Source organism: Homo sapiens, chromosome 1 (assembly GCF_000001405.40).
Source record: "Homo sapiens chromosome 1, GRCh38.p14 Primary Assembly".
Lineage (NCBI taxonomy): Eukaryota > Metazoa > Chordata > Mammalia > Primates > Hominidae > Homo > Homo sapiens.
The window spans coordinates 153,068,560-153,094,928 of record NC_000001.11 but is presented as its reverse complement, the minus strand read 5'-3'; the positions used below and the strand labels follow the sequence as shown (position 1 = coordinate 153,094,928).

General features: G+C 37.9%; 2 protein-coding genes across 4 annotated transcripts; both read left to right on the top strand.

Annotated features, from left to right (window-relative positions):
• Positions 403 to 1,794, top strand: SPRR2E (small proline rich protein 2E). Its single transcript, NM_001024209.4, has 2 exons — positions 403 to 445; positions 1,159 to 1,794. The coding sequence occupies exon 2, from the start codon at positions 1,178 to 1,180 to the stop codon at positions 1,394 to 1,396; it is 219 nt and encodes a 72-aa protein (NP_001019380.2). The 5' UTR covers positions 403 to 445; positions 1,159 to 1,177; the 3' UTR covers positions 1,397 to 1,794.
• On the top strand, positions 7,130 to 24,703 carry SPRR2B (small proline rich protein 2B). 3 transcript variants are annotated; one of them, XM_047428866.1, is made up of 2 exons: positions 7,130 to 7,167; positions 24,071 to 24,703. In XM_047428866.1, exon 2 carries the CDS (start codon positions 24,090 to 24,092, stop codon positions 24,306 to 24,308), a length of 219 nt encoding a protein of 72 aa, XP_047284822.1. In that variant the 5' UTR covers positions 7,130 to 7,167; positions 24,071 to 24,089; the 3' UTR covers positions 24,309 to 24,703. The 3 variants fall into 3 exon arrangements, with proteins under 3 accessions (XP_047284822.1, NP_001375127.1, NP_001017418.1); NM_001388198.1 differs by lacking the exon at positions 7,130 to 7,167 and adding an exon at positions 23,318 to 23,360; NM_001017418.3 differs by lacking the exon at positions 7,130 to 7,167 and adding an exon at positions 23,318 to 23,364 and having other exon boundaries at positions 24,071 to 24,701.
• Positions 24,704 to 26,369: the final 1,666 nt, after the last annotated feature.

Below are 26,369 nucleotides of genomic sequence, written 5' to 3'. Positions count from 1 at the left end.
AGTAGAGGTGGAGATGGGTTCATGTACAAACAATATGGCATTCAGCTAAAGTGGATCAGGGCAGGAAGTTTTATGATTTAGGGAATGTGTAAGACAGGAAGCATTCATTGCCCCCAATCAAGAAAGAGAGCCCTTGACCACCAGTTAGAGAATCCCCCAAGTCCCTCTTTGCTGTCACTGAAACTGAGATCTAAGGCAGGGCCTCAGTGAGTCAGGGCACTTAATCCAGTGGAAAGATCCCAGAACAGGATATTTCCCAGTTTGAGAATCCCTGTCATGCCAGTTATGGATAGATTTGCATTTTAGTTGGGACATTGCTGGGCCAGCCCAGTTTTGGGTAGTTCCACTTCCTGCTGGGTGGGGTAGCAGGCCCTATAAAGAGGTTCTCTGCTCTACAACTCCTAAACTCCTGGTACTTGAGCACTGATCTGCTTTGGAGAACCTGGTGAGTCTGCTTCCTTGAGTTCCTCTGTTCTTTGTGCCCTGAAGTGTTGAATTTAACCTGAATCCAGCAAGTTTGGTGGATCCAAACCTGTGATCATAGGTTTGATGGTACTTAGTTGATGGAACTACAGGATTAGATTACATGATACAGTGTTTTACACAGATTTTTAAAAAATGTACAATTATATGTCCATATGGACAGAGAAGTTAATAGGAAAGTTTTGGTTTGAAGAAAGGGATGAAGTATTTTTCTCTTTTCCATATTTTCCTGGTATCCTTTTCAAAGGTTTGTGTCTTAGCAGGTGTGAGAGCCAGTACTTCTTCCTGAACAGCCCTTGCTCTGTGCCCAAGTCAACCCACTGGTGCTTTACAACAGATAATGATGATAGGAATAGCTTGTGAGATTGCCCAGGAGGTCTGAACTTGTGACTGCCTTTCCTGAAGATGTCATTTTCATGGAATAACATGCTTGCTTCTTTATTATAGAGATGTTTTCTTTGGAAAAATTGTATGAGGAAAGGCAGGAATTCCTAGGGCTGATGAAACAACTTGCTAAAGTGGAAAGGAGAAGACAGGAAGTCATGAAAAGAGAGCTAAGAGTTTAAATAAATTTTTGGAGATTGGAGAAATAATATGCCATGGTATTACATAAGCTTTGGCTTCTCTCTCTGGAGGAGTCCATTCCTGTGAACACTGTCATATCATTTCTTTCAGATTCTGAGACTCCAGCAGGATGTCTTATCAACAGCAGCAGTGCAAGCAGCCCTGCCAGCCACCTCCTGTGTGCCCCACGCCAAAGTGCCCAGAGCCATGTCCACCCCCGAAGTGCCCTGAGCCCTGCCCACCACCAAAGTGTCCACAGCCCTGCCCACCTCAGCAGTGCCAGCAAAAATGTCCTCCTGTGACACCTTCCCCACCCTGCCAGCCAAAGTGTCCACCCAAGAGCAAGTAACAGCTTCAGAATTCATCAGGAGCATGAAAGGATAAGGATAATTGGCTCACCTTGTTCCACAGCTTCACCTGCATCTTCTCATCAAAGCCTACCATGGATACACAGTTAGCTTCTTTCCTCTTAGCCAGTGATCTGCCCATGATGATCCCTGATAGCAAAAGGTTTCCTTTCTGAGGCTGCCATATTGCCACTGTCCAGGTGGAGACTGAGAAAGGAAGTCCTCAGCAGTGTCAGTTCCCAGAGCTTTGGAAGAAGGACCAGCAGCTCTGTCCCTGGGAACCATCAAAAAATGCTGTTGATGTTTTCTGTGTCTGTCTGTCACCTGGGCATGGGCTTCTAACACCTGTGCAATTGTCACTTTTCTTTCACTCCCTGAATAAAATATCTTTGCATACGTATTTGTGAATGGATCTTTTGTTTCTTTTCAAATCTGCTTTATTAGTAAAATTATATAATCATTTGGGTTTATTTCCACCTTTCTTTCAACCACAGTCAGAATCTTAAAATTTGGGTCATATCAAAGATTATGTCTGTATTATTTAAACCACTTTTATTTTCCTTAATTAGTGTTTGATTGATTTGAGGAACATATTATTCAACTTCTGTGAATGTCAATCTCTTTATTGCAAAGCGACCAAAATAACATTTACTTAACAAACTAGTCTTGGGATAAATCTAATTACTATCTGAAATTTTGTTGTCGCAATGCCTGACACATAATTAGCTGTCATTTTAGAAGTTTATTGGCAGTAACATATCATCATTGTTTCCACCATTACCACCACCACCACCATCATCATCATCATCATCATCACTCCCCATGACAACCACTACCATATTTGTTCCAGCAATAGAGTGGCTTGGATGTAACTAATATAAAAAATAAGAAGACTCTGTTTTTTTTTAAATTTTATTATTATTATACTTTAAGTTTTAGGGTACGTGTGCACAATATGCAGGGTTGTTACATATGTATACATGTGCCATATTGGTATGCTGCACCCATTAACTCGTCATTTAGCATTAGGTATAACTCCTAATGCTATCGAAGACTCTGTTTTTATTGGTTCCTAATACTTATACACATTTTTGGGATACGTGTGATATATTGTTACATGGATCAAATGTGTAATGATAAAGCCGGGATATTAGGAAATTTAGGGCATTCATCACCTTGAGCATTTATCATTTCTGTCTTTGTTGGAAACATTTTAATTCCTCTCTTCTAGCTATTTTGAAAAATACAATATGTTGTTGTAAACTGTAGTCACCCTACTCTGCTATCAAATATTAAAACTTACTCCTTTTATATATCTCTATGTTTGTACTCATTAGCCAGTGTTTTATCATTCTCCATCCCCTGAACTCCCTTCCCTGCTTCTGGTATCTATCATTCTACTCTCTACATTTATAGATCAAATTTTGCAGCTCCTACATATGAGTGAAAACACACAATATTTGTCTATCTCTGCTTGATTTATTTTACTTAACATAATGACCTCCATTTGAATATATGTTGCTTCCAATGATGGGAATTCATTCTTTTTATTACAATGAAATAGTATTTCTTTGCATGTATATTCTATCTTTTCTTTGTCCATTCATTCATTAATGGATGCTTAGGTTATACATCTTTGCTATTGTGAATAGTGCTGCAATAACCATGGGAGTTTAGGCAACCCTTTCATAATCTGATTTCTTTTCCTTTGGATAGATACACTGTAGTTGGATTGCTGGATTGAATGATAATTCTATTTTTAGTTTTTTGGATAAATCTTACTGTTTTCCACAGCAGCTGTTCTAATTTACATCCTTACCAAGAGCATATAAGACATTTTTCTTTGCATCTTCTTTGGCATCTGCTTTTTTTAAGTTTTTATTTTAAGTTCAGGGGTACATATGCAGGTTTGTTATATACTTAAACTTGTGTCATAGGCGCTTATCATACAGCTATTTCATCACCCAGGTATTAATTCTGGTACTCATTAGTTATTTTTTGTGATCTTTTCCTTCCCCATAACTGCCACCCTGTGGTAGGCCCCATGGTCTGCTGTCTCCTTCTATGTGTCCATGTGTTCTCATCATTTAACTTGCTGTTTTAAGTAAGAACATGTCGTATTTGGTTTTCTGTTTCTGCATTAGTTTGCTAAGCATAATTGCCTCCAGCTCCATCCATGTACCTGTAAAGGACACAGTCTCATTTCTTCTTATGGCTGCATAGTATTTCATGGTGTATATGTACCACTTTTTCTTTATCTAGTCTATCATCAGTGGGCACTTAGTTTGGTTCCATGTCTTTGCTATTATGAATAGGGCTGCAATGAACATAACACGTTAACATGTCTTTATGGTAGAATGGTTTACATTCCTTTGGGTATATACCAAGTAATGGGATTGCTGCTTTTGATGGTAGTTATTTAATTTTAGTTCTTTGAGTAATTGCCACAGTGTATTCCACAATATTTGAATAGATTTACACTCCCACCAACAGTGTATAAGCATTTATTTTTGTCTTCAACCTCTCTAGCACCTCTTTTTTTTTTTTTTTACTTTTCATAATAGCCATCTGACTGGTGTGAGACTGTATCTCATTGTGGTTTTGATTTGCATTTCTCCAACGATCCTTGACATTGAGCTTTTATTCATATGGCATGTATGTCTCTTTTTGAAAGTGTCTGTTCCTGTCTTTCATGCACTTTTCAATGGCGCTGTTTTTTTTCTTGTAAATTTGTTCAAATTCCTTATAGATGCTGGATATCAGACCCTTATAAGATGTGTATCTTGCAAAATTTTTCTCCCATTCTTTAGGTTGTCTGTTAACTTTCTTGATAGTTTCCTTTGCTATGCAGAAGTTCTTTAGTTTAATTAGATCTCATTTGTCAATTTTCTTTTCTTTGCAATTGCTTTTGGCATCTTCGTCATGAAATCTTTGCTAGTTCCTATGTTCAGAAACGTATCGCCTGGGTTGTCTTCCAGGGTTTTTATAGATTTGGGTTCTATATTTAAGTCTTTAATTCATCTTGAGTTGATTTTTGTATATGATGTAAAGAAGGTATCCAGTTTCAATCTTCTGCATATGTTAGTCAGTTATCCTAGCACCATTTACTGAACAGGAAGTCCTTTTCCCATGCTTGTTTTTAAAAAGTTTTTAGAAGATCAGGTAGATACAGGTGTGTTGTCTTATTTCTGGGTTCCCTATTCTGTTTCATTAGTGTATGTGTCTGTTTTTCCACTAGTATCACGCTGTTTCATTTATGGTAGCCTTGCAGTATAGTTTATAGTTGGGTAGCATGATGTCTCCAGCTTTGTACTTTTTGCTTAGAATTACCTTGGCTATTTGGGCTGATTTTTGATTCCATATGAATTAAAAAAAATTTTTTTCTGGTTCTGTGAAGAATGTCATTGGTAGTGTGATAGGAGTCACATTGAATCTGTAAATTGGACAATATGGCCTTTTTTCTTTTGTTTTGTTTTGTTTTCTTTTTTTTTTTTGAGATGGAGTCTCACTCTGTTGCCCATGCTGGAGTACAGTGGCCCAATCTTGGCTCACTGCAAGCTCTGCCTCCTGGGTTCACGCCATTCTCCTGCCTCAGCCTCCTGAGTAGCTGGGACTATAGGTGTCCACCACCAGGCCCAGCTAATTTTTTGTATTTTTAGTAGAGATAGGGTTTCACTGTGTTAGCCAGGATGGTCTCAATCTCCTGACGTCGTGATCTGCCTGCCTCGGTCTCCCAAAGTACTGGGATTACAGGTGTGAGCCATTGTGCACAGCCAATATGGCCCTTTTAAGGATATTGATTCTTCCCATTCATGAGTATGGAATGCTTTTCCATTTGTTTGTGTTACCACTGATTTATTTGAGCAGTGTTTTAGAATTCTCCTTGTAGAGATCTTTCACCTCCCTGGTTAGCTATATTCCTAGGTACTTTATTATTTTTGTAGCAATTGTGAATGGGATTGTGTTCCTAATTTGACTCTTGTCTTGGTTGTTGGTGTACGGGAGTACTAGTAATTTTTGTACATTGATTTTGAATCCTGAAGTTTTGCTGAAGTTTTTTATCAGCTGAAAAACCCTTTTGGTCTTTGAACATAGGGTTTTCTAGATATAGTATCATGTCGTGTATAAACAGAAATAGTTTGACTTATCCTCTTCCTATTTCGATGCCCTTTCTTTCCTCACCTTCCATGATTGCTCTGGCCAGGACTTCCCATACTATGTTGAATAGGAGTGGTGAGAGAGGGCATTCTTCTCTTGTGCGTAGGGAAAAGAAAGAGAGATCAGACTGTTACTGTGTCTATATAGAAAGGGAAGACATAAGGATTCCATTTTGAAAAAGACCTGTACTTTGAACAATTGCTTTGCTGAGATGTTGTTAATTTGTAGCTTTGCCCCAGCCACTTTGCCCCAGCCACTTTGCCCCAGCCTGGAGCTCACAAAAACATGTGTTGTATGAAATCAAGGTTTAAGGGATCTTGGGCTGTGCAGGATGTGCCTTGTTAACAAAATGTTTACAAGCAGTATACCTGGTAAAAGTCATTGCCATTCTCTAGTCTCAGTAAACCAGGGGCACAATGCACTGCAGAAAGCTGCAGGGACCTCTGCCCTTGAAAACGGGGTATTGTCCAAGGTTTCTCCCCATGTGATAGTCTGAAATATGGCCTAGTGGGATGAGAAGCATCTGACCGTCCCCCAGCCTGACACCCATAAAGGGTCTGTGCTGAGGCGGATTAGTAAAAGAGGAAAGCCTCTTGCAGTTGAGATAGAGGAAGGCCGCTGTCTCCTGCCTGCCCCTGGGAACTGAATGTCTCGGTATAAAACCCGATTTTACATTTGTTCAATTCTGAGATCAGAGAAAAACCACCCCATGGTGGGAGATGAGACATGTTTGCAGCAATGCTGCCTTGTTATTCTTTACTCCACTGAGATGTTTGGGTGGAGAGAAACATAAATCTGGCCTACATGCACATCCAGGCATAGTACATTCCCTTGAACTTAATTATGACATAGATTCTTTTGCTCACATGTTTTTTGCTGACCTTCTCCTTATTATCGCCCTGCTCTCCTACTACATTCCTTTTTGCTGAAATAATGAAAATAATAATAAATAAAAACTGAGGGAACTCAGAGACTGGTGCTGGTGCAGGTCCTTGGTGTGCTGAGTGCCGGTCTCCTGGGCTCACTGTTGTTTCCCTATACTTTGTCTCTGTGTCTTATTTCTTTTCTCAGTCTCTTGTCTCTCATTCTGTATGATGTTGGCTGTGGGTCTGTCATAGATGGCTGTTATTATTTTGTGGTCTGTTTCTTTAATACCTAGTTTGAGAGTTTTTAACATGAAAGGGTGTTGAATTTTATGGATAGCCTTTTCTCCATCTATTGAGATAATCTTGTGATTTTTTGTCTTTAGTTCTGTTTACGTAATGAATCACAGTTTTTGGTTTGCCTATGTTGAACCAACCTTGCATCCCAAGGGTAAAGCCAACTTGATTGTGGTAGATAAGCTTTTTGATGTGTTGCTGGATTCAGTTTGCCAGTATTTTTTTGAGGATTTTTGCATTGACATTCATCAAGGATATTGGCCTGAAGTTTTCTTTTTTTGTTGGGTCTGTGTCAGGTTTTGTTATCAGGATGATGCTGGCCTCACAGAATGAGTTAGGGAGGAGTTCCTCCTCAATATTTTGGAATAGTTCCAGCAGAAATGATATAAGCTCTTGTTTGCACATCTGGTAGAATTCAGCTATGAATTTGTTTTGTCCTGGGCTTATTTCGGCTGGTAGGCTATTTATTACTGATTCAATTTTGGAGCTCATTATTGGTCCTTTCACAAATGCAAATTCTTCCTGGCTCAGGGTTTGGAGGGTGTATGTGTCCAAGAATGCATTTGTTTTTTCTATATTTTCTAGCTTATGTACATAGAGATGTTTGTAATATTCTCTGATGTTTATTTGTATTTCTGTGGAGTCAGTGGTAATATCCCCTTTGTTTTTTCTAATTGTGTTTATTTGGATCTTTTTCTTCTTTATTAGTCTAACTAGTAGTCTACTTAGTTCATCATTTTTCTCAAGAACCACCTCCTGGATTTGTTGATCTTTTGAATGGTTTTTTGTGTCTCAATGTCCTTCAGTATGCCTCTGATTTCAGTTATTTCTTATAATCTTCTTGCTTTGCAGTTAGTTTTCTCTTGGTTCTCTAATTCTTTTATTTGTGATGTTATGTTTTTGCATTGAGATCTTTCCAGATTTTTTTTTTCTTTTTGAGATGGAGTCACTCTCTGTTGCCCAGGCTGGATTGCAGTAGCGTGATCTCGACTCACTGCAACCTCCACCTCCCTGTTTCAAGCAATTCTCCTGCCTTAGCCTCTCGAGTAGCTGTGACTACAGGTGCCCACTACCACGTTTGGCTAATTTTTTGTATTTTTAGTAGAGATGGGGTTTCTTTGTGTTATAGTGCTATAAATTTCCCTCTTAACACTGACTTAGCTGTGTCCCAGAGATTCTGGTATGTTGTAGCTTAAGAACTTCTTGATTTTTTTCCTTAATTTGATTATTTATCCAAAAGATATTCAGAAGCAGGCTACTGAATTTCTAAGTAATTGTATGTTTTGGAGTGAATTTTTTAGTCTTAATTTCTAATGTTATTCCAATGTGGTTTGAGAAATTGGTTGTTATTATTTCAGTTCTTTTGTATTTACTTAGGAGTATTTTATTTCCTATCTTGTGATGGATTTTAGACTATGAGCCATGTGGCAATGAGAAGAATATATATTCTGTTGTTTTTAGGTGAACAGTTGTAGATTATTAGCAAGTACATTTGATCCAGTGCTAAGTTTTGGTAGTGAATAACACTGTTAGTTTTCTGTCTCTATGATGTGTCTAATACAGTCCTTGTGATGAATCTTATGACTATGTGTCTTGCAGATGATGTTCTTCTGTTGTATCTTACTTTTCAGTCTCCCACTATAATTACTGGGGAGTCTAAATCTCTTTGAAGGTCCCTAAGAACTTGATTGATAAATCTGAGTTCTCCTGTGCTGGGTCCACATATATTTAAGATAGTTAGGTTGTCTTGTTGCTTTGAATCTTTTACCATTATGTAATGCTGTTTTTGGTCTTTTTTTGGACGTTTGCTGGTTTAATGTCTCTTTTGACTGAAATTAGGATGGCAACCCCTGCTTTTTTCTGTTTTTCATTTGTTTGGTGGATTTTTCTCCATCCCTTTACTTTGAGCCTATGTGGGTCATTGTATGTGAGATTGGTCCCTTGAAGACAGCATACCAATGGGTCTTTGTTCTTTTTTCAGTTTGCCACTCTGCGTTTTAATTGGGGCATATAGCCCATTTACATTCAAGGTTAGTATTGATACATGTGGATTTGATTGTGGCATGATATTAGCTGGTTATTCTAAAAACTTGTTTATGTGGTTGCCTTATAGTGTCACTGGTCTGTGTACTAAAGTGTGTTTCTGTAGTTGCTGATAATTGTTTTTCCTTTCTATATTTAGTGCTCCATTTAGGAGCTCTAGTAAGGTAGGTCTGGGGGTAACAAATTCCCTTAGCCTTTGCTTGTCCGAAAAGGATCTTTTTTCTCTTTAACTTATGAAGCTGAGTTTGACTAGATATGAAATTCTGGGTTGGTATTTCTTTTCTCTAAGAATGTTGTATATTGGCTCCCAATCTCTTCTTGCTTGTACGGTTTCTGCTGAGAGGTCTGTTTTTAGTCTAAATGGCTTCCCTATGTAGGTGACCTGATCTTTCTCTCTAGCTGCCTTTAGCATTTATTCTTTCATTTGACCTTGAAGAATCTGATGATTATGTGTCTTGCAGATGATGTTCTTCTGTAGTATCTTACTTGGGTTCTCTGCATTTTCTGAATTTGAATGTCTACCTCTCTAGCTGGGCTGGGGAAGATCTCATGGATGATAATATCTGGAAATACATTTCAAGTTGGTTACACACTTCCCTTCTCTTTCAGCAACACCAATGTATCACTAACTTGATTTCTTTATGAAATACCATATTTTTCTGAGGCTTCATTCATTCCTTTTCATTCATTTCTATCTTTTCTTGTCTGGCTGTCTTATTTCAGTGTTTGAACTCTGGGATTCTTTTCTCTGCCTGGTCTATTCAGATGTTAATGCTTGTGATTGCATTATGACATAACAAAAAATGAATTTTGTAGTGTTTTTCAGCTTTTTCAGGTCAGTTATGTTCTTTTCTTTACTGGCTATTTTGTCAGTCAGCTCCTGTGTTGTTTTATTGTGATTCTTAGCTTCCTTGGATTGGGTTTCAACATACTCCTACATCTCAGTGATCTTCCTTCCTATCCATATTGAAATTCCATTTCTGCCACTTCAGCCATCCTAGCTCAGTACAGAACCCTTGCTAGAGAGGCTGTGTGGTTGTTTGGAGGAACAAAGACACCTTGGCTTTTTGAGTTGTCAGAGTTCTTGTGCTGATTCTTTCTTATCTTCATGTGCTTATATTCCTTCAATCTTTGAAGTTGCTGACATTTGGATGGGTTTTAATTTCTTTATCTCATTTGATAACCTTGAGGTTTTGATTGTGGTATAACATCAATTCAGATGACTGGCTTCATCTATTTTAGGGTCCCAACACTCAGCTCCCAAATCCTGGACTGCATGCCATAACTCTGAGGGAAGTGTGTCAGGCTTGACTTTGTTCTTTGGCTCCCCCGGGTTAGGAATCCACTGTGCTATGGAGGCTGAGGTGCTCCCTGACCCCTGTTCACTACACTCTGATGGGTGGTGTCAGCCAAAGTGTTTTGCAGTGTGGTGGCAGTGGGGTCCATTCTTGTTTGTATGTGTCAAGAGCAGTGGCAGCATGGCAGGGTGCATACTATTGGGCTGGGGGCAGGGTTCTTGCAGGTGCTAGGGTACCTGCCTCTGTGGGGACATTCACCACAGTGGTAGAGGCAATGTGGCTTGAGGGCATAGGAGGTCCCTTCTGGTGACTGTGTGTTGTCACACTTGTAGTGTTGTTGGTATGTGGGTAGGGTGCTGATGGGTGCAGGTGTGTGTGCTTTTTCTGTGTGCAACAATTTGGGGTTTTTGTTTGGGGTGCAGGAGTTTCCACTGTTTCCAGTGCCTAGTTTCACTCCCATGGCAGTGTTGGCACAAGGGTATACATTGGCATGAAAGTTGGGGCTGGCTGGCTATGTGACTGCAATGGCCATCACCAGGGAGAAGGAAGCTGACTGTACTCTCACTGCAGCAGTGACAGGGCAGGATGCACACTCTCATATGTACTGGTGGGGAGAGGAAAGCAAAACCCACTCATGCACTCACATGCTGGCAAAGTGATATGGGGTGTTGCTCTGGGCCCAGGGGAAGCTGTAGTTTGTGGAGCGAGCAGATGGGCTGGTGGGTGACCACGGGCAGCTGCCTCGCTGGAGTTCTCCATTTGTTAGCTGTGATCTGCCAGCACAAAGGCTAAAATGTGGGTCCCAAAGTCACCAGAGTTTGTTCTGCAAGGAAGTGCATCCAGGCTGGTACCCCAGGAGACACCAGCTGACCAGAGAGTGCTCAGGTCAGACTGGCCCCATCTGAAAGGCAAGATTGCCCTGCAGAATTCAGGTCCAACAGCTCCCCAAGGGTTAAAGTCTCCTATGCGAGCAAGTTGAGCCTAGAGAGATGGCCATCCCTAGCCCTGCTCCATTACAGACACTCCCTTACCAAACCCCTTGGGTTCCACGTCAGCTGGCATGCTGCCTCTGTCACCTCTCTAAGCAGTTCTGCCTGCCAACTGGAGTGTCCCTGGTGGTTGAGGGGGTCTTCTCCTGCTGGAATTCCAGAGGCCCATGGCGGGAGTGGGTTCCTCCCTGCTGGTTCAGCTCAGCTGTTCCCCTGGAGTCACTGGAGGCCAGGAACGAGTTCTGGTGTGTAGTGTCCCTGTGCAGGGCTCCCAGCTTTCTCTCTTTTCAGCCTAACTTCTGGGTCTTCTCTTGGTTCACTCTCAGTGCCTTCCCTCTGAATATCTGTTAGAAGTGCACCTGTAATCTCGGTTCCTTAGTGGCAGCTGTTCCACCTGGCTGCATCCAGTTGGCCATCTTGCCCAGAGCCACAGGAATGATCTGGTATGCTAAATGTTTTTGAGTCTTTTGTGCATCATATTCATGAGGAATATTGTTCTGTAGTTTTCATTAGTTGTATTGTCTTTGTCTGGCTTTTGTATCAGGGTATTGGCGGGCCTCATGGAATAAGACAGGAAGTAGTCCCTATTTTCAGCTTTCTTTTTTGAAAGATTTTGAGAAGGATTGTTTTACATTTCTCCAGTAAATCCTTCTGGTTCAACATTTTTCTTTCTTGTGAGATTTTACATTAGTGATTCAATTTCCTTACTTATTATACATCTATTCAAATTATCTATTTCTTCACGAGTTGGTAGACAGTATATTTCTAAGAATTTGTTCATTCCAACTGTGTTATCCAATAAGCTGACATAGAATTATTTATAGCTTTCTCTTCAAATTTTTTTATTTCTGTAAAATCAGTGTAATGTTCCTCCTTTCTTTTAAGATTTTAGCTATTTGAGTCTTACATCGTTTTTATTCATGCAGTTATTCTGTCTAAAGATTTGTGAAGTTTGTTGAACTTTTCAAAGAAATAAAACAATGTTATTGATTTTTCTCTACTGTTTGCTTGTCCTTTATTAGTATCTCTATGCTAGGCTCATGTTTTCTTTTTGGGGGGTTTAGCTTAATTTACTTTTTGTAGTTTCCCAAGTGCAATATGAGGTTATTTATCTGAGATCTTTTTTTTTTCATTAAAAATGTATGTGGTTATGGCTATAAATTTCCCTGTTAGCACTGCTTTTTGCTGCAACCCATAAGTTTGGTATGATGTGTTTTGTTGTGAGTAGTCTCAAGCGATTTCTAATTTTCCCTATGATTTCATATTTGACTTGTTGGTTGTTTAAGAGTGCGTTGTTTAATTTCCACAAATTTGTAAAATTTGCCATTTTAATTTGATTATAAGATTTTAGTTTTATTTCCTTGTGATTGGAAAGGTCCATTGTATGATTTTAGTCTTTTAAAATATATTAAATTGTTCTGTAACCCAATGGATGTTGTCTATCCTGGAGAGTGTTCTTCCATGTTCTCTTGAGAAAACTGTAAGGAGTATCCTGCTGCAGTTGGGTGGAGTGTTCTATATTTAAATTTTTTTGATTCTTTCTTCCAATTTGTGTTTTTGGGGAGAATTTAATTCATTTGCATTTAAAGTAATTACTGATAAGGAAGGTCTTCTTTCTGCATTTACTATTTTCTGTACACTGTTTGTGTTTCAATACCGTCTGATTTATGTTTATTTAATTTTCTGTAGTAAAGCTATTTTATTGCCTTTTATCTTTTGTGTATACTTGAAAATATTTTTGTGGTTTCATCGGGGATTATGTATAGTATCCTAAAGTTATAGAAATCTAATTTGAATTAACACCCGTTTAACCCCAATTGCATCAAAAAGTTGACTCATATCCAGCCTGCCCAACATGGCGAAATGACAGGGCAGGATGCACTGTCTCTACTAAAAATACAAAACTTAGCTGGATGTGGTGGCACATGCCTGTAGTTCCACTACTAAAAAGGCAAGATAATTGCTTGAGCCCAGAGGCGGAGGTTGCAGTGAGCCAAGATTCTGCCACTGCATTCCAGCTTGGGTGATGGAGTGAGTCTGTGTCAAAAAAAAAAAAAAAAAGAAAAGAAAAGAAAAGGAAAATTGACTCATACAACCTTATCCTGTTTTTATGTTGAATTCACAAATTACATCTTTATATATTGTGTGTTTGCCAACACAGATTTGTAATTATATTGTGTTCATTTGCATTTTAAATCTTGTAGAAAATAAAAAGTGAAGTTACAAGCTAAAATTTCAATAATGCTGGCTTTTATATACCAGTGTACATTTATCAGAGATTTTTGTATCTTCACATAGTTTTTCTCCAGCATCCTTTTATTTCAACCTGAGAGTCTCTCTTTGTTGTTTCTCATACAGAAACTCTACAGGCAGTGAACTGCCTCAAGTTTTGATTTCAGGAAATGCCATAATTTTGCCCTCATTTTAAAGGACAATTTTGCTGGCTATAGGATTCTAGGTTGAAAGTGTTTTATTTTAGGGCTTTAAGTATGTCATCCCACTACCTCTTGATCTCCAAGGTTTCTGATGAGCATTTGGTCAATTACTTCTTAAGAATTTCTTAGATATCATGATTCATTTTCCTCTTGCTGCTTTCAAGATTCTCTCTTTTGATAATTTGATTATAATTTGTGTCACGCTGGGTGTCACTGAATTCATTGGATTCTTAAGGATTTCTTAGATATGAAGATTCACTTCCCTCTTGCTGCTTTCGAGATTCTCTTTTGATAATTTGATTATAAGGTGTGTCACGGTAGGTGTCTTGAATTCATTGAACTTGGAGTTTGTTATGCTTTTTGAATGTGTAAGTTTGCCTTTTACAGAAATCATATAAATAGGCCTACAGCCTTTGAGACTGACTTCTCTTACTTATCAGTTTGCATTTCAAATTCAACCATGTCTTTGTGAGTCTTGACAGGTCATTCCATGTTATCACTGCACAGCATTCCATTGCATGAGTGTGTACCACAGTTTATCGATTCAATTATTGAAGGACATGTTGGTAGATCACAGATAGTGGATGTTATGACTAAAGCTGCCATAATTATTTGAATGCACCTTATTTTTTGTCGAGATATTTTAAAATGTACTAGATCAATTTTTGAATGTGGTGTTGCTGGATCGTATCATAAAATTATGTTTATCTTTTAAGATTGTGAGTTAGTTTGTATTTTTTTATAGTGTTTATATTTTATTTAACCTTTCTCAAACTTACAGTAGAATTTGCAGGACTCTCATCCTATGTTACAGTTCAAACAGCCTTTACTGTACAAATTTTTTTCACAATTTTGTGTTTCTTTGTTTTCCTTTTTGACTTTTTAAGAGTGTGTTGTTTAATTTCCACAAATTTGTAAAATTTCCCATTTTAATTTGATTATAAGTTTTTAGTTTTATTCCACTGTGATTGGAAAAGTTCATTGCATGATTTTAGCCTTTTAAAATATATTAACTTGTTCTGTAGCCTAATGGATATGGTTTATCCTGGAGAGTGTTCTTCCATGTTCTCTTGAGAAAGCTGTAAGGTGTATCCTGCTGCTGTTGGGTGGAGTGTTCTATATTTGTCTATTTGGTCCAATTGGCTTATATATTTAAGCCCTCTATTTTTTCAAACTTTTATTATTCTAGCCATTTTTGAGAGTGAATTATTTGAGTTTTCAACATTTATTATAGACCTATGAACTTCTTTTAATTTCTCTCACTGTATCTTCGCATATTTTGTAGTTTTGATGTTTAGTAAATGTAGGTTTATAGCTTTCTATATTTTCTAGGTTTTCTTGGTGAATAAATCTCTATCAATACACACATCTTTGAAGGACCTCTTCAAGGAGAACTACAAACCACTTCTCAATGAAATAAAAGAGGATACAAATAAATGGAAGAACATTCCATGCTCATGGATAGGAAGAATCAATATTGTGAAAATGGCCACACTGCCCAAAGTAATTTATAGATTCAATGCCATCCCCATCAAGTTACCAACGACTTTCTTCACAGAATTGGAAAAAACTACTTTAAAGTTCATATGGAACCAAAAAAGAGCCCGCATTGCCAAGTCAATCCTAAGCCAAAAGAACAAAGCTGGAGGCATCATGCTACCTGACTTCAAACTATACTACAAGGCTACAGTAACCAAAACAGCATGGTACTGGTACCAAAACAGAGATATAGACCAATGGAACAGAACAGAGCCCTCAGAAATAATGCTGCATATCTACAACCATCTGATCTTTGACAAACCTGACAAAAACAAGCAATGGGGAAAGGATTCCTTATTTAATAAATGGTGCTGGGAAAACTGGCTAACCATATGTAGAAAGCTGAAACTGGATCCCTTCCTTACACCTTATACAAAAATTAATTCAAGATGGATTAAAGACTTAAATGTTAGACCTAAAACCATAAAAACTCTAGTAGAAAACCTAGGCAATACCATTCAGTACATAGGCATGGGCAAGGACTTCATGCCTAAAACACCAAAAGCAATGTCAACAAAAGCCAAAATTGACAAATGGTATCTAATTAAACTAAAGAGCTTCTGCACAGCAAAAGAATCTACCATCAGAGTGAATAGGCAACCTACAGAATGGAGAAAATTTTTGCAATCTACTCATCTGACAAAGGGCTAATATCCAGAATCCACACTGAACTCAAACCAATTTAGAAGAAAAAAAAACAAACAACCCCATCAAAAAGTGGGCGAAGGATATAAACAGACACTTCTCAAAAGAAGACATTTATGCAGCCAAAAGACACGTGAAAAAATGCTCACCATCACTGGCCATCGGAGAAATGCAAATCAAAACCACAATGAGATACCATCTCACACCAATTAGAATGGTGATCATTGAAAAGTCAGGAAACAACAGGTGCTGGAGAGGATGTGGAGAAATAGGAACACTTTTACACTGTTGGTGGGACTGTAAACTAGTTCAACGATTGTGGAATTCAGTGTGGTGATTCCTCAGGGATCTAAAACTAGAAATACCATTTGACCAGCCATCCCATTACTGGGTATATACCCAAAGGATTATAAATCATGCTGCTATAAAGACAAATGCACACATATGTTTATTGCAGCACTATTCACAATAGCAAAGACTTGGAACCAGCCCAAATGTCCAACAATGATAGACTGGATTAAGAAAATGTGGCACATATACACCATGGAATACTATGCAGCCATAAAAAGTGATGAGTTCATGTCCTTTGTAGGGACATGGATGAAGCTGGAAACCATCATTCTCAGCAAACTATCGCAAGAACAAAAAACCAAACACCGCATGTTCTCACTCATAGGTGGGAATTGAACAATGAGAACACATGGACACAGGAAGGGGAACGTCACACACTGGGGCCGGTTGTGGGGTGGGGGTAGAGGGGAGGGATAGCATTTGGAGATATACCTAATGTTAAATGACGGGTTACTGGGTTCAGCACACCAACATGGCACATGTATACATATGTAACTAACCTGCACGTTGTGCACATGTACCCTAAAACTTAAAGTATAATAAAAAAACAGAAAGTAAGCTCCTTAAAAGAAATATATATACATGTCTTTTGTAGTCTCTTATAACAGTTCTCAACTTAAAGTTAATTATGTCTGATGTTAGTGTAGCCACCTCTGGTCTCTTTTGGCTACTATTTACATGAAATATCTTTTTCTATCCTATTACTTTCACCTCCTTTGTGTCTTTAACTGTAAAGTTCGTCTATTGTAAACAACAAATAGTTGAACTATTTTTTTTAATTCATTCTTCCAATTTGTGTTGTTGGGGAGAATTTAATTCATTTACATTTAAAGTAATTACTGATGAGAAAGGTCTTCTTTCTGCATTTACTCTTTTCTGTACAATGTTTGTTTTTCAATATTGTCTGATTTATGTTTATTAGATTTTTTTTGTAGTAAAATGATTTTATTGCCTTTATCTTTTGTGTATACTCGAAAACATTTTTGTGTTTTCATTGGGGATTATGTATAATATCCTAAAGTTATAGTAATCTAATTTGAATTAACACCCGTTTAACTCCAATTGCATCAAAAAGTTGACTCATATCCAGCCTCGCCAACATGGCGAAACCCTGCCTCTATTAAAAATACAAAAATTAGCTGGGTGTGGTGGCACATGCCTGTACTTCTACTACTAAGGAGGCTGAGGCAAGATAATAGCTTGAGCCCAGAGGCAGAGGTTGCAGTGAACCAAGATCATGCCACTGCATTCCAGCCTGGGTGATGCAGTGAGACTGTGTCGAAAAAAAAAAAGAAAAGAAAAAAAAAGAAAATTTGACTCATACAACTCTATCCTTTTTTTTTTGCGTTCACAAATTACATCTCTATACATCGTGAGTTTGCTAACATAGACTTGTAATTATATTGCATTCATTTGCATTTTAAATCTTGTAGAAAATAAAAATTGAAGTTACAAGCTAAAATTTCAACAATGCCAGCTTTTATGTACCAGTGTACATTTATCAGAGATTTTTGTATCTTCACATAGTTTCTCTCCAGCATCCTTTTATTTCAACCGGAGAGTCTCTCTTTATCATTTCTCATACACAAAATCTACAGACAATGAAATGCCTCAAGTTTTGATTTCTGGAAATGCCATAATTTTGCCCTCATTTTAAAGGACAATTTTGCCAGCTATAGAATTCTAGGTTGAAAGTGTGTTCTTTTATGGCTTTAAATACGTCATCCCACTACCTCCTGATCTCCAAGGTTTCTGATGAGCATTTGGTCAACTACTTCTTAAGGATTTCTTAGATATGATCATTCACTTCCCTCTTGCTGCTTTCAAGATTCTCTCTTTTGATAATTTGATTGTAATGTGTGTCATGGTGGGTGTCACTGAACTCATCGAACTTGGAGTTTGTTGCGATTTTTGGATGCATAAGTTTGCCTCTTATGGAAATCATATAAATGGGCCTACAGCCTTTAAGACTGACATTTCTAACTTATCAGTTTGCATTTCAAATTCAACCATGTCTTTGTGAGTCTTGATAGGTCATTCCATGTTATAATTGTGTGGTATTCCATTGCATGGGTGTGATGTACCACAGTTTATCCATTTAATTATTGAAGGACATCTTGGTAGATCACAGATAGTGGATATTATGACTAAAGCTGCTATAATTATTTGAATGCACATTATTTTGTGTTGACATATTTTAAAATGTACTAGATCAATTTTTGAATGTGCTGTAGCTGGATCGTGTCATAAAATTATGTTTATCTTTTAAGATTGTGAGTTAGTTTTGATTTTTTTCTTAGTGTTTATACTTTATTTAACCTTTCTCAAACTTACAGTAGAATTTTCAGGACTCTCATCCTATGTAAGAGTTCAAATAGTCTTTTCTCTCCAAATGTTTTCACAATTTTGTTTGTGTTTCTTTGTTTTCCTTTTTGACTTTTTTGGAGGAAGACCACAGCCTATGCACATTCACTATCTTGAAAAGATTCTTACAAGTAGAAGTATCTGAATTATTCCATCATTTACCATATATTCTTCTGAATCTCATTAACACTAAGCATACAGGAGTACTTTATATTACTAATAACTCTTGAATTTTGCTCTTAAATATTTGGATCTAACATATGGAGAAAATAAAAGTAGAATTTAAAAGGTTTATACACTTTGGAAAGATTAGTGCTAATGAGCTATTCAGTTGCTTACAAGGATTTAGCCTAAAATTTAGGTAATTTGTCTGCAGAAGGAATGTGATATTTAAATGAGCAATCTTTTAATTGTCTTAAACAGCTAACCACAGTAACAGTAGACTAAATTAGAGGTAACATTATATATTTTTTCAGAAGAATAAAACATATATTTTTCACATAGAATACATATATCTATACATGTTAATATTTTTCAAATCAACAAATCAACATATTGCTATTTATTGTTTTCAGACTTTTTTTTATTATCTGAATTCAGAGGAAAGCTGTAGAGAGTCCAAATAACACAGAAACATTATCCGTTGTTCTAAATTTCTGCTTAGGTTAACTCATTTTTATCACATAAGAATAAATGTCAAGATCAGTCTACCTTATTATTTCTGCACACTTCATTCAAATCATACATTTGCATTTGCTTTGTCCTAAAAACTTCTGGCACACACTTAAGATAATGGTGATATAAAAGGTCTTAAAGAGAAGCAAATGTCTTTCTCAGCCATAAACAACTTGACTTCAATATTTTGCCCCTATCTCTTTGATTAGCCATGTGTTTCTTTACTATTTTGAGTACTCTCTGTAGCCTGTGCTAAATACTTTAAATGCAGTCTCTGATTTAATTTTTTTCTCATGACAATTTAGTAGTAGGTACTATTATTATCACTTTGTTCTATTATCTTTATCACCTGTTACTAATCATCCATTTCTTCCAATTTCATCATATTATGGCCAATGTTATGATTTCTATCTGTCTGGCTCTTAGATAGTAGACAAACTCATTCCTGATTTTTTTTACTCTAGTATGATCTGCCAATTTTGGTGAACTGTTTTTTTTTATTTTTATTTTTTGAAATTTATTTATTTATTTTTTTTGAGATAGAGTCTTGTTCTGTCACCAAAACTGGAGTGCAGAGGTGTGACGCCACCTCACTGCAACCTCCGCCTCCTGGGTTAAAGCAATTCTGTGCCTCAGCCTCCCGAGTAGCTGGGATTACAGGCCCCTGCAATCACGCCTGGCTAATTTTTGTATTTTTAGTAGAACTGGGTTTCACCATCTTGGCCAGGCTGGTCTTGAACTCCTGACCTCGTGATCAACCCACGTTGGTCTCCCGAAGTGCTGGGATTTCAGGCATGAGCCACCGTTCCCGGCCTGGTGAATTATTTTATAGATACATATGGTTATTGCATGTCTGTGGCTTCAGTGTATGTATGTCAGTGCTATGAGGATGGGGAATATTATCAGGGTTTTCTTCAAGAGAGATTTTAGAAGGGATGTGATCAAATGTAGAGCTATAACAATAAAACAACTGCTGCTTCCATCCAGCTCCACCTTTAGCGTCTGCCCAAAAATGCTGAAAAAATAAAAAAGACCATTATCTGACTAACTGAGCAATGGACATGCTTGTCTCTTGTCAACTTTTCAAAGTAGAATTTTAAGATTCCTTACTCAGTAATAGGTAACATTTGGAGAATACTTTGAAAAGTAAAACAAGAAAATAGGTATCATCTGTAATTTCACCAGCCATATATAATCACATTTAATATATTGTTTCATATGTTTCCTATCTTTTAATAAATGTTGATGAGAATCATGTCATGCTTTATATGTTTTTAGTACAATTCCAGTGTTTTAAATTATACTAAACAAATTTCCAAAACATCCACCTTAATGATTTTCACTATTCTACCATATGAATGTTCTGTAATTTATTGGATTCAGCATGGAAGGACAATGGATGCTTAGCCTTTCATTCAGAAATAAAAGCAGAAGACAGATATGCATGGGGAATTGCAGTTACCCTTTCTCTGAGCTTATCAAGAATATTTTACCATAATTTTGTTTCTTTATTTTTTCATATTTAATTTTAAATCTTTATTTGCCAGCACTATTTTGTTTAGTGGAATGTATAGTATTGAAATGTGAGATAAAATGTTGAATCAAATATTACACAAAATTAAAAGTGGACAAAGTGAATGGATCTCCGTGAAATTGTTATATGAAAAAAAGAACAATTATTAAAAGGTTGCATGATGTATAAATTCACTAAAATATTCTTAAAATAATGAAATCATAGAGATAGAAAAAAGAGTAATATTTACTAGAGGTAAGTATTTGAGAAAGCAGGGGTGGCTATAAGTGGGGAGCAGAGGAGCCTTGTGGTAATGGAACAGTTATTTATCTTGACTGTAGTAGTAGCCAAAGCTACATATGTGATGTAAATTTCATAGCATTATGAACACACACACGCACAAATGAGTGAATATATAATTAATAAAATTCAAATATACTTTGTGAATCACAAAAAAGTAAAGTATTTGTTCTTTCCTGTCATTTTTAAGTACTAATCATTCATACTTAATGATCCCTTAGAAAATTATGGAGTAGAAGTAATAGGAATGAACCTAAGGCTATCAGACTCTTAAAGAAGATAAAGCTAACCTCTTTAGACATGTAGATAGATGATAGATAAAGACTCATGTTGTGTGTGTGTGTGTGTGTGTGTGTGTGTGTGTGTGTGAAGTATGCCTCGCTCTATGTCTCAGGGCCTGGATGTCCTAACCTGGGGAAGGTGTGACTGTTAGCTGCTCCTCTTCATGTTATGACCACTCTTCATGTAGCTGAACTGTGAGGAACTCTGAGTTTCCAGTTCACCATCTCAACTCGTAAAGTGAGCCTGTCTGAGATGCTGGGGGCACTAGGGCTGCTGCCGCTCTGGTGCCTGCACTGCTGTGATAAACAGCCTGTTTGAGTGGGGTGTTCTCAGAAGGGGAGTCTCAGGGCATGACCCAAACTGTATTATCTCACACAGTGATCTCATTTAGCAGCCAATTCTCCAATTTTGCATGGCAGAAAAAAGACATTTCTGTAAGGATTTGTGTTGTAGATGTGATGTGAGGCTCTGGGGAAGAGTAGGGGACCTATTGAGTGAAATCCCTTTACTGCACCCACTGTACTTGACATGTGGACACATTTGGTGAGAACACTGTTTGTAAACACCTGGACTCAAGGTGTTGACATGATAGTTCTATTTCTGTAGTGTCTGGCCATGGTGATCTTGGCCAAAAGCCCTTCCTTAGAGACTGGAGCAATTGCAGATCTGGAAACCTAACTTGCTTAACTGAGAGGTGTGATGCTGGGTTGATTCAGCGCTCTTGCTCTATCTGGAGCGTAGCTGGTGAGTGCTCCAAAGAATTTGAGTCACTCCTCTTCCTCTTTTTTTCTTATCTTCCTTGTCCTTCTTCTTCTCCAATTATAAAACCACATTCTTGGAAAGGTTCTTGATTATTGGCCCAGATAAGGAAGCTCCAGCAGCAGTATTTTAAGTGTTTAATATATGATGCTTAGTAAGCCCCATTGATTGCAGGAAGAGTTTTAAAAAGATGTGAAAGACATTCACATTGACAACATACGTATCGAGTGAACAATGTGTACTAAAATGGACAGATGAGAGGTATACATTGGGATGTGAATTGATAATCTAGCAGGTTGTGGGGCTAGAGGGCTTTGGGAAAAGACAAAGGAAGAACATACAAACAAATAAAATAATACTGTCTTTCAAAGACTAAAACCTGTTTGGAAAGAGAGGTAGAGAAAGCAAACATATAGGATCACACTGAGTTGATATTTTCCCCTAGATTTCAGACTTTAAGTCCTCTGACCTTCTCTACTCTGAGAAGACCCCTTCTCTTCTCTATTTACATAAGATACTGTAAGTCTATGCATTTTGTTCTCTATAGGATGTTCACAGGGAAAGATATAGGCATGGTTCAATACATAGATTTAAAATGAATGCTTGTAACTTTGGTTCCCTTCTCTCCATTTCCTTAATGTGGTGACTAAGTACATTTCTATAAATAAAAAGGCTGTAGTACACATCCTTGATAGCAGCAGTAGCAAACATACTGGGGAGACTGGATCTCACTCTGGTGTCTGTCCTGGGACACAAGTGCCTCTATAAGAGGTGTGTAAGACAACTTCAAAGGGAAAAGGAATATAGGTAAAATCTGGGGTTCTGTGAGAGAAAGACAGAGGTGAAGTAGAAAATTTCAGGCTTGAACAGGGTCAACAGATGGCACAATGTGGTCACTGCCTTCAAAACCAGAGGTAGATATGATGCTTCTCTGTTTACCATTCCAGAGAGGAGAGTTGACCTGGCATACAACTTAGCAAAAAAATCTGTGGCCAGAACTCAGGCCTTTGTTAGGTCCTTCTAGCACACTGGCAAATTGTACGAGGAAAGAAGGGGTGGAGATGGGTTCATGTACAACAATATGGCATTCAGCTAAAGTGGATCGGGGCAGGAAGTTTTATGATTTAGGGAATGTGTAAGACAGGAAGCATTCATTGCCCCCAATCAAGAAAGAGAGCCCTTGACCACCAGTTAGAGAATCCCCCAAGTCCCTCTTTGCCATAAGTCACTGAAACTGAGATCTAAGGCAGGGCCTCCATGATGTTTCCCAGTTTGAGAATCCCTGTCATGCCAGTTATGGATAAATTTGCATTTTGGTTGGGACATTGCTGGACCAGCTCAGTTTAGGCAGTTCCACTTCCTGCTGGGTGGGGTAGCTGGCCCTATAAAGAGGTTCTCTGCTGCCCAACTCCTAAACTCCTGGTACTCGAGCACCGATCTGCTTTGGAGAAACTGGTTAGTCTGCTTCCTTGAGTTCTGTTCTTTTTGCCCTGAAATGTTGAATTTAATTTGAATCCAGCAAGTTTGGTGTATTCAAACCTATGATCATGGGTTTGATGGTACTTAGTGGATGGAAATACAGGATTAGACTATGTGATAGAGTGTTTTACACAGCTTTAAAAAATATATACAGTTATATGTTCATATGGACAGAGAAGTTAATAGGAAAGCTTTGGTTGGAAGAAAAGGATAAAGTATTTTTCTCTTTTCCATATTTTTCTGGTATCCTTTTCAAAGGTTTGTGTCTTAGCAGGTGTGAGAGCCAGCACTTCTTCCTGAACAGCCCTTGCTCTGTGCCCAAGTCAAGCCATTGGGACTTTACAACAGATAATGATGATAGGAATAGCTTGTGAGATTGCCCAGGGGGTCTGAACTTGTGACTGCCTTTCATGAAGATGTTAATTTCTTGGATTAACATGCTGGATTTTTTATTACAGAGATGTTTTCTTTGGAAAAATTGTATGAGGAAAGGCAGGAATTCCTAGGGCTGATGAAGCCACTTGCTAAAGTGGAAAGGAGAAGACAGGAAGTCATGAAAAGAGAGCTAAGAGTTTAAATAAATTTTTGGAGATTGGAGAAATAATATGCCATGGTATTACATAAGCTTTGGCTTCTCTCTCTGGAGGATTCCCTTCCCACGAACACTGTTGTATCATTTCTTTCAGATCCTGAGACTCCAGCAGGATGTCTTATCAACAGCAGCAGTGCAAGCAGCCCTGCCAGCCACCTCCTGTGTGCCCCACGCCAAAGTGCCCAGAGCCATGTCCACCCCCGAAGTGCCCTGAGCCCTGCCCACCACCAAAGTGTCCACAGCCCTGCCCACCTCAGCAGTGCCAGCAGAAATATCCTCCTGTGACACCTTCCCCACCCTGCCAGCCAAAGTATCCACCGAAGAGCAAGTAACAGCTTCAGGATTCATCAGGAGCATGAGAGGATAAGGATAATTGGCTCACCTCGTTCCACAGCTCCACCTTCATCTTCTCATCAAAGCTTATCATGGATTCATAGGGAGCTTCTTTCCCCTTAGCCTGTGATCTGCCCATGATGTTCCCTGATAGCAAAAGGTTTCCTTTCTAAGGCTGCCATACTGCCACTGTCCAGGTGGAGACTGAGCAAAGGAACCTTGGCTTTGTCAGTTCCCAGAGCTTCAGCAGAAAGAGCTGCAGCTGTGTGCCTGGGAACCATCAGAGAATTCTGTTGATGTGTTCTGTGTCTGTCTTTCACCTGGGCATGAGCTTCTACCACCTGTGCAATTGTCACTTTTCTTTCACTCCCTGAATAAAGTATCTATGCATATATATTTGTGAATGGGTCTTTTGTTTCTTTTCAAATCTGCTTTATTAGCAATGTGATATGACCATTTAGATTTATTCCTATCTTTCTGTGATCCTCAGGGAAGATCTTACAATTGTTGCTATATGAATTTTGGGTCATAGCAAGTATTAGTTCTGTATCATTTTATACCCCTTTTATTTTTCTTAGTGTTTGATTGATTTGCAGAACATATTATTCCAGTTCTCCAAATGTCTATCTTTTTACTGCAATGTGAACCAAACAATATTTACATCATAAAATAATCTAAGTCATAAAATCTAATTTCTATCTGAAATTTGGTTGGCACAATACCTGACACATAATAGCAGTCATTTTATTGAATTTGCTGCTAAGAAGCAGCAATATATCATCGTTTCCCCCAGAAGCATCATCATCATCATAATCATCATCACCCCCTGCTACAACCACCAAGATATTTGTTCCAGAAAGAGAGTGGCTTGGATGTAACTAATACAGGAAATAAGAAGACTCCCTATTGTTATTTTTAATTGATTCATAATACTTGTACATATTTTTGGGGTACATGTGATATTTTGTTACATGGATCAAATGTGTAATGATCACGTCAGGATATCAGGAAATTTAGGGAATCCATGACCTTGAGCATTTATCATTTCTTTCTTTCCTGGGAACATTTTAATTCCTCTCTTTTTGCTATTTTGAAAAATACAATACATTGTTGTAAACTGTAGTCACTGTACTCCGCTATCAAATATTTAAAGTTACCTCTTTTACGTCTCTCTATGTTTGTACTATTTAACTAGCATCTCTTCATTCTCCACCCCCTGAACATCTTTCCCTGCCTCTGGTAACTATCATTCTACTCTCTACCTTTATAGATCAACTTTTGTAGCTCCCACAGATGAGTGAGAACATGCAGTATTTGTCTTCCCCTGCTTGACTTATTTTACTTAACATAATGACCTCCAGTTCCATCCGTGTTGCTGCACATGACATGATTTTATTCTTTTTTACAACAAAATAGGATTTCATTGTGTGTCTATACAATATTTTCTTTTTCCATTTATTCGTTAATGGACACTTAGGTTACATATCTTTGCTATTGTGAATAGTACTGCAATAACCATGGGAGTTCAGGCATCCGTTTGATGGACTGATTTCTTTTCCTTTGGATAGATACACAGTAGTTGGATTGCAGGATTGAATGGTAGTTCTATTTTTAGTTTTTGGAGAAATCTTTGTATTGTTTTCCACTGCGGGTGTACTAATTTACATTCCCACCAGAAGTATATAGGCTTCTTTTTTCTTTGCATCCTGTCCAGTATCTGCTATTTTTAAAAATTTTTTATTTTAAAATCAGGGGTACATGTGCAGGTTTGTTATATCGGTTAATGCATGTCACCGGGGTTTATTGTACAGCTTGTTTCATCACTCAGTTATTAATCATAGTACCTATTAGTTATTTCTCCTGATCCTCTCTGTCCCCCAAACCTTTACCCTCCAATAGGCCCTATTGTCTGTTGTTCCCCTCTATGTGTCCATGTTTTCTCAGCATTTAGCTCCCAGTTATAAGTGAGAACATGTGGTATTTGATTTTCTGTTCCTGCATTAGTTTTCTGAGGGTAATGGCCTGTAGCTCTACCCATGTTCCTGCAAAGGACTTGATCA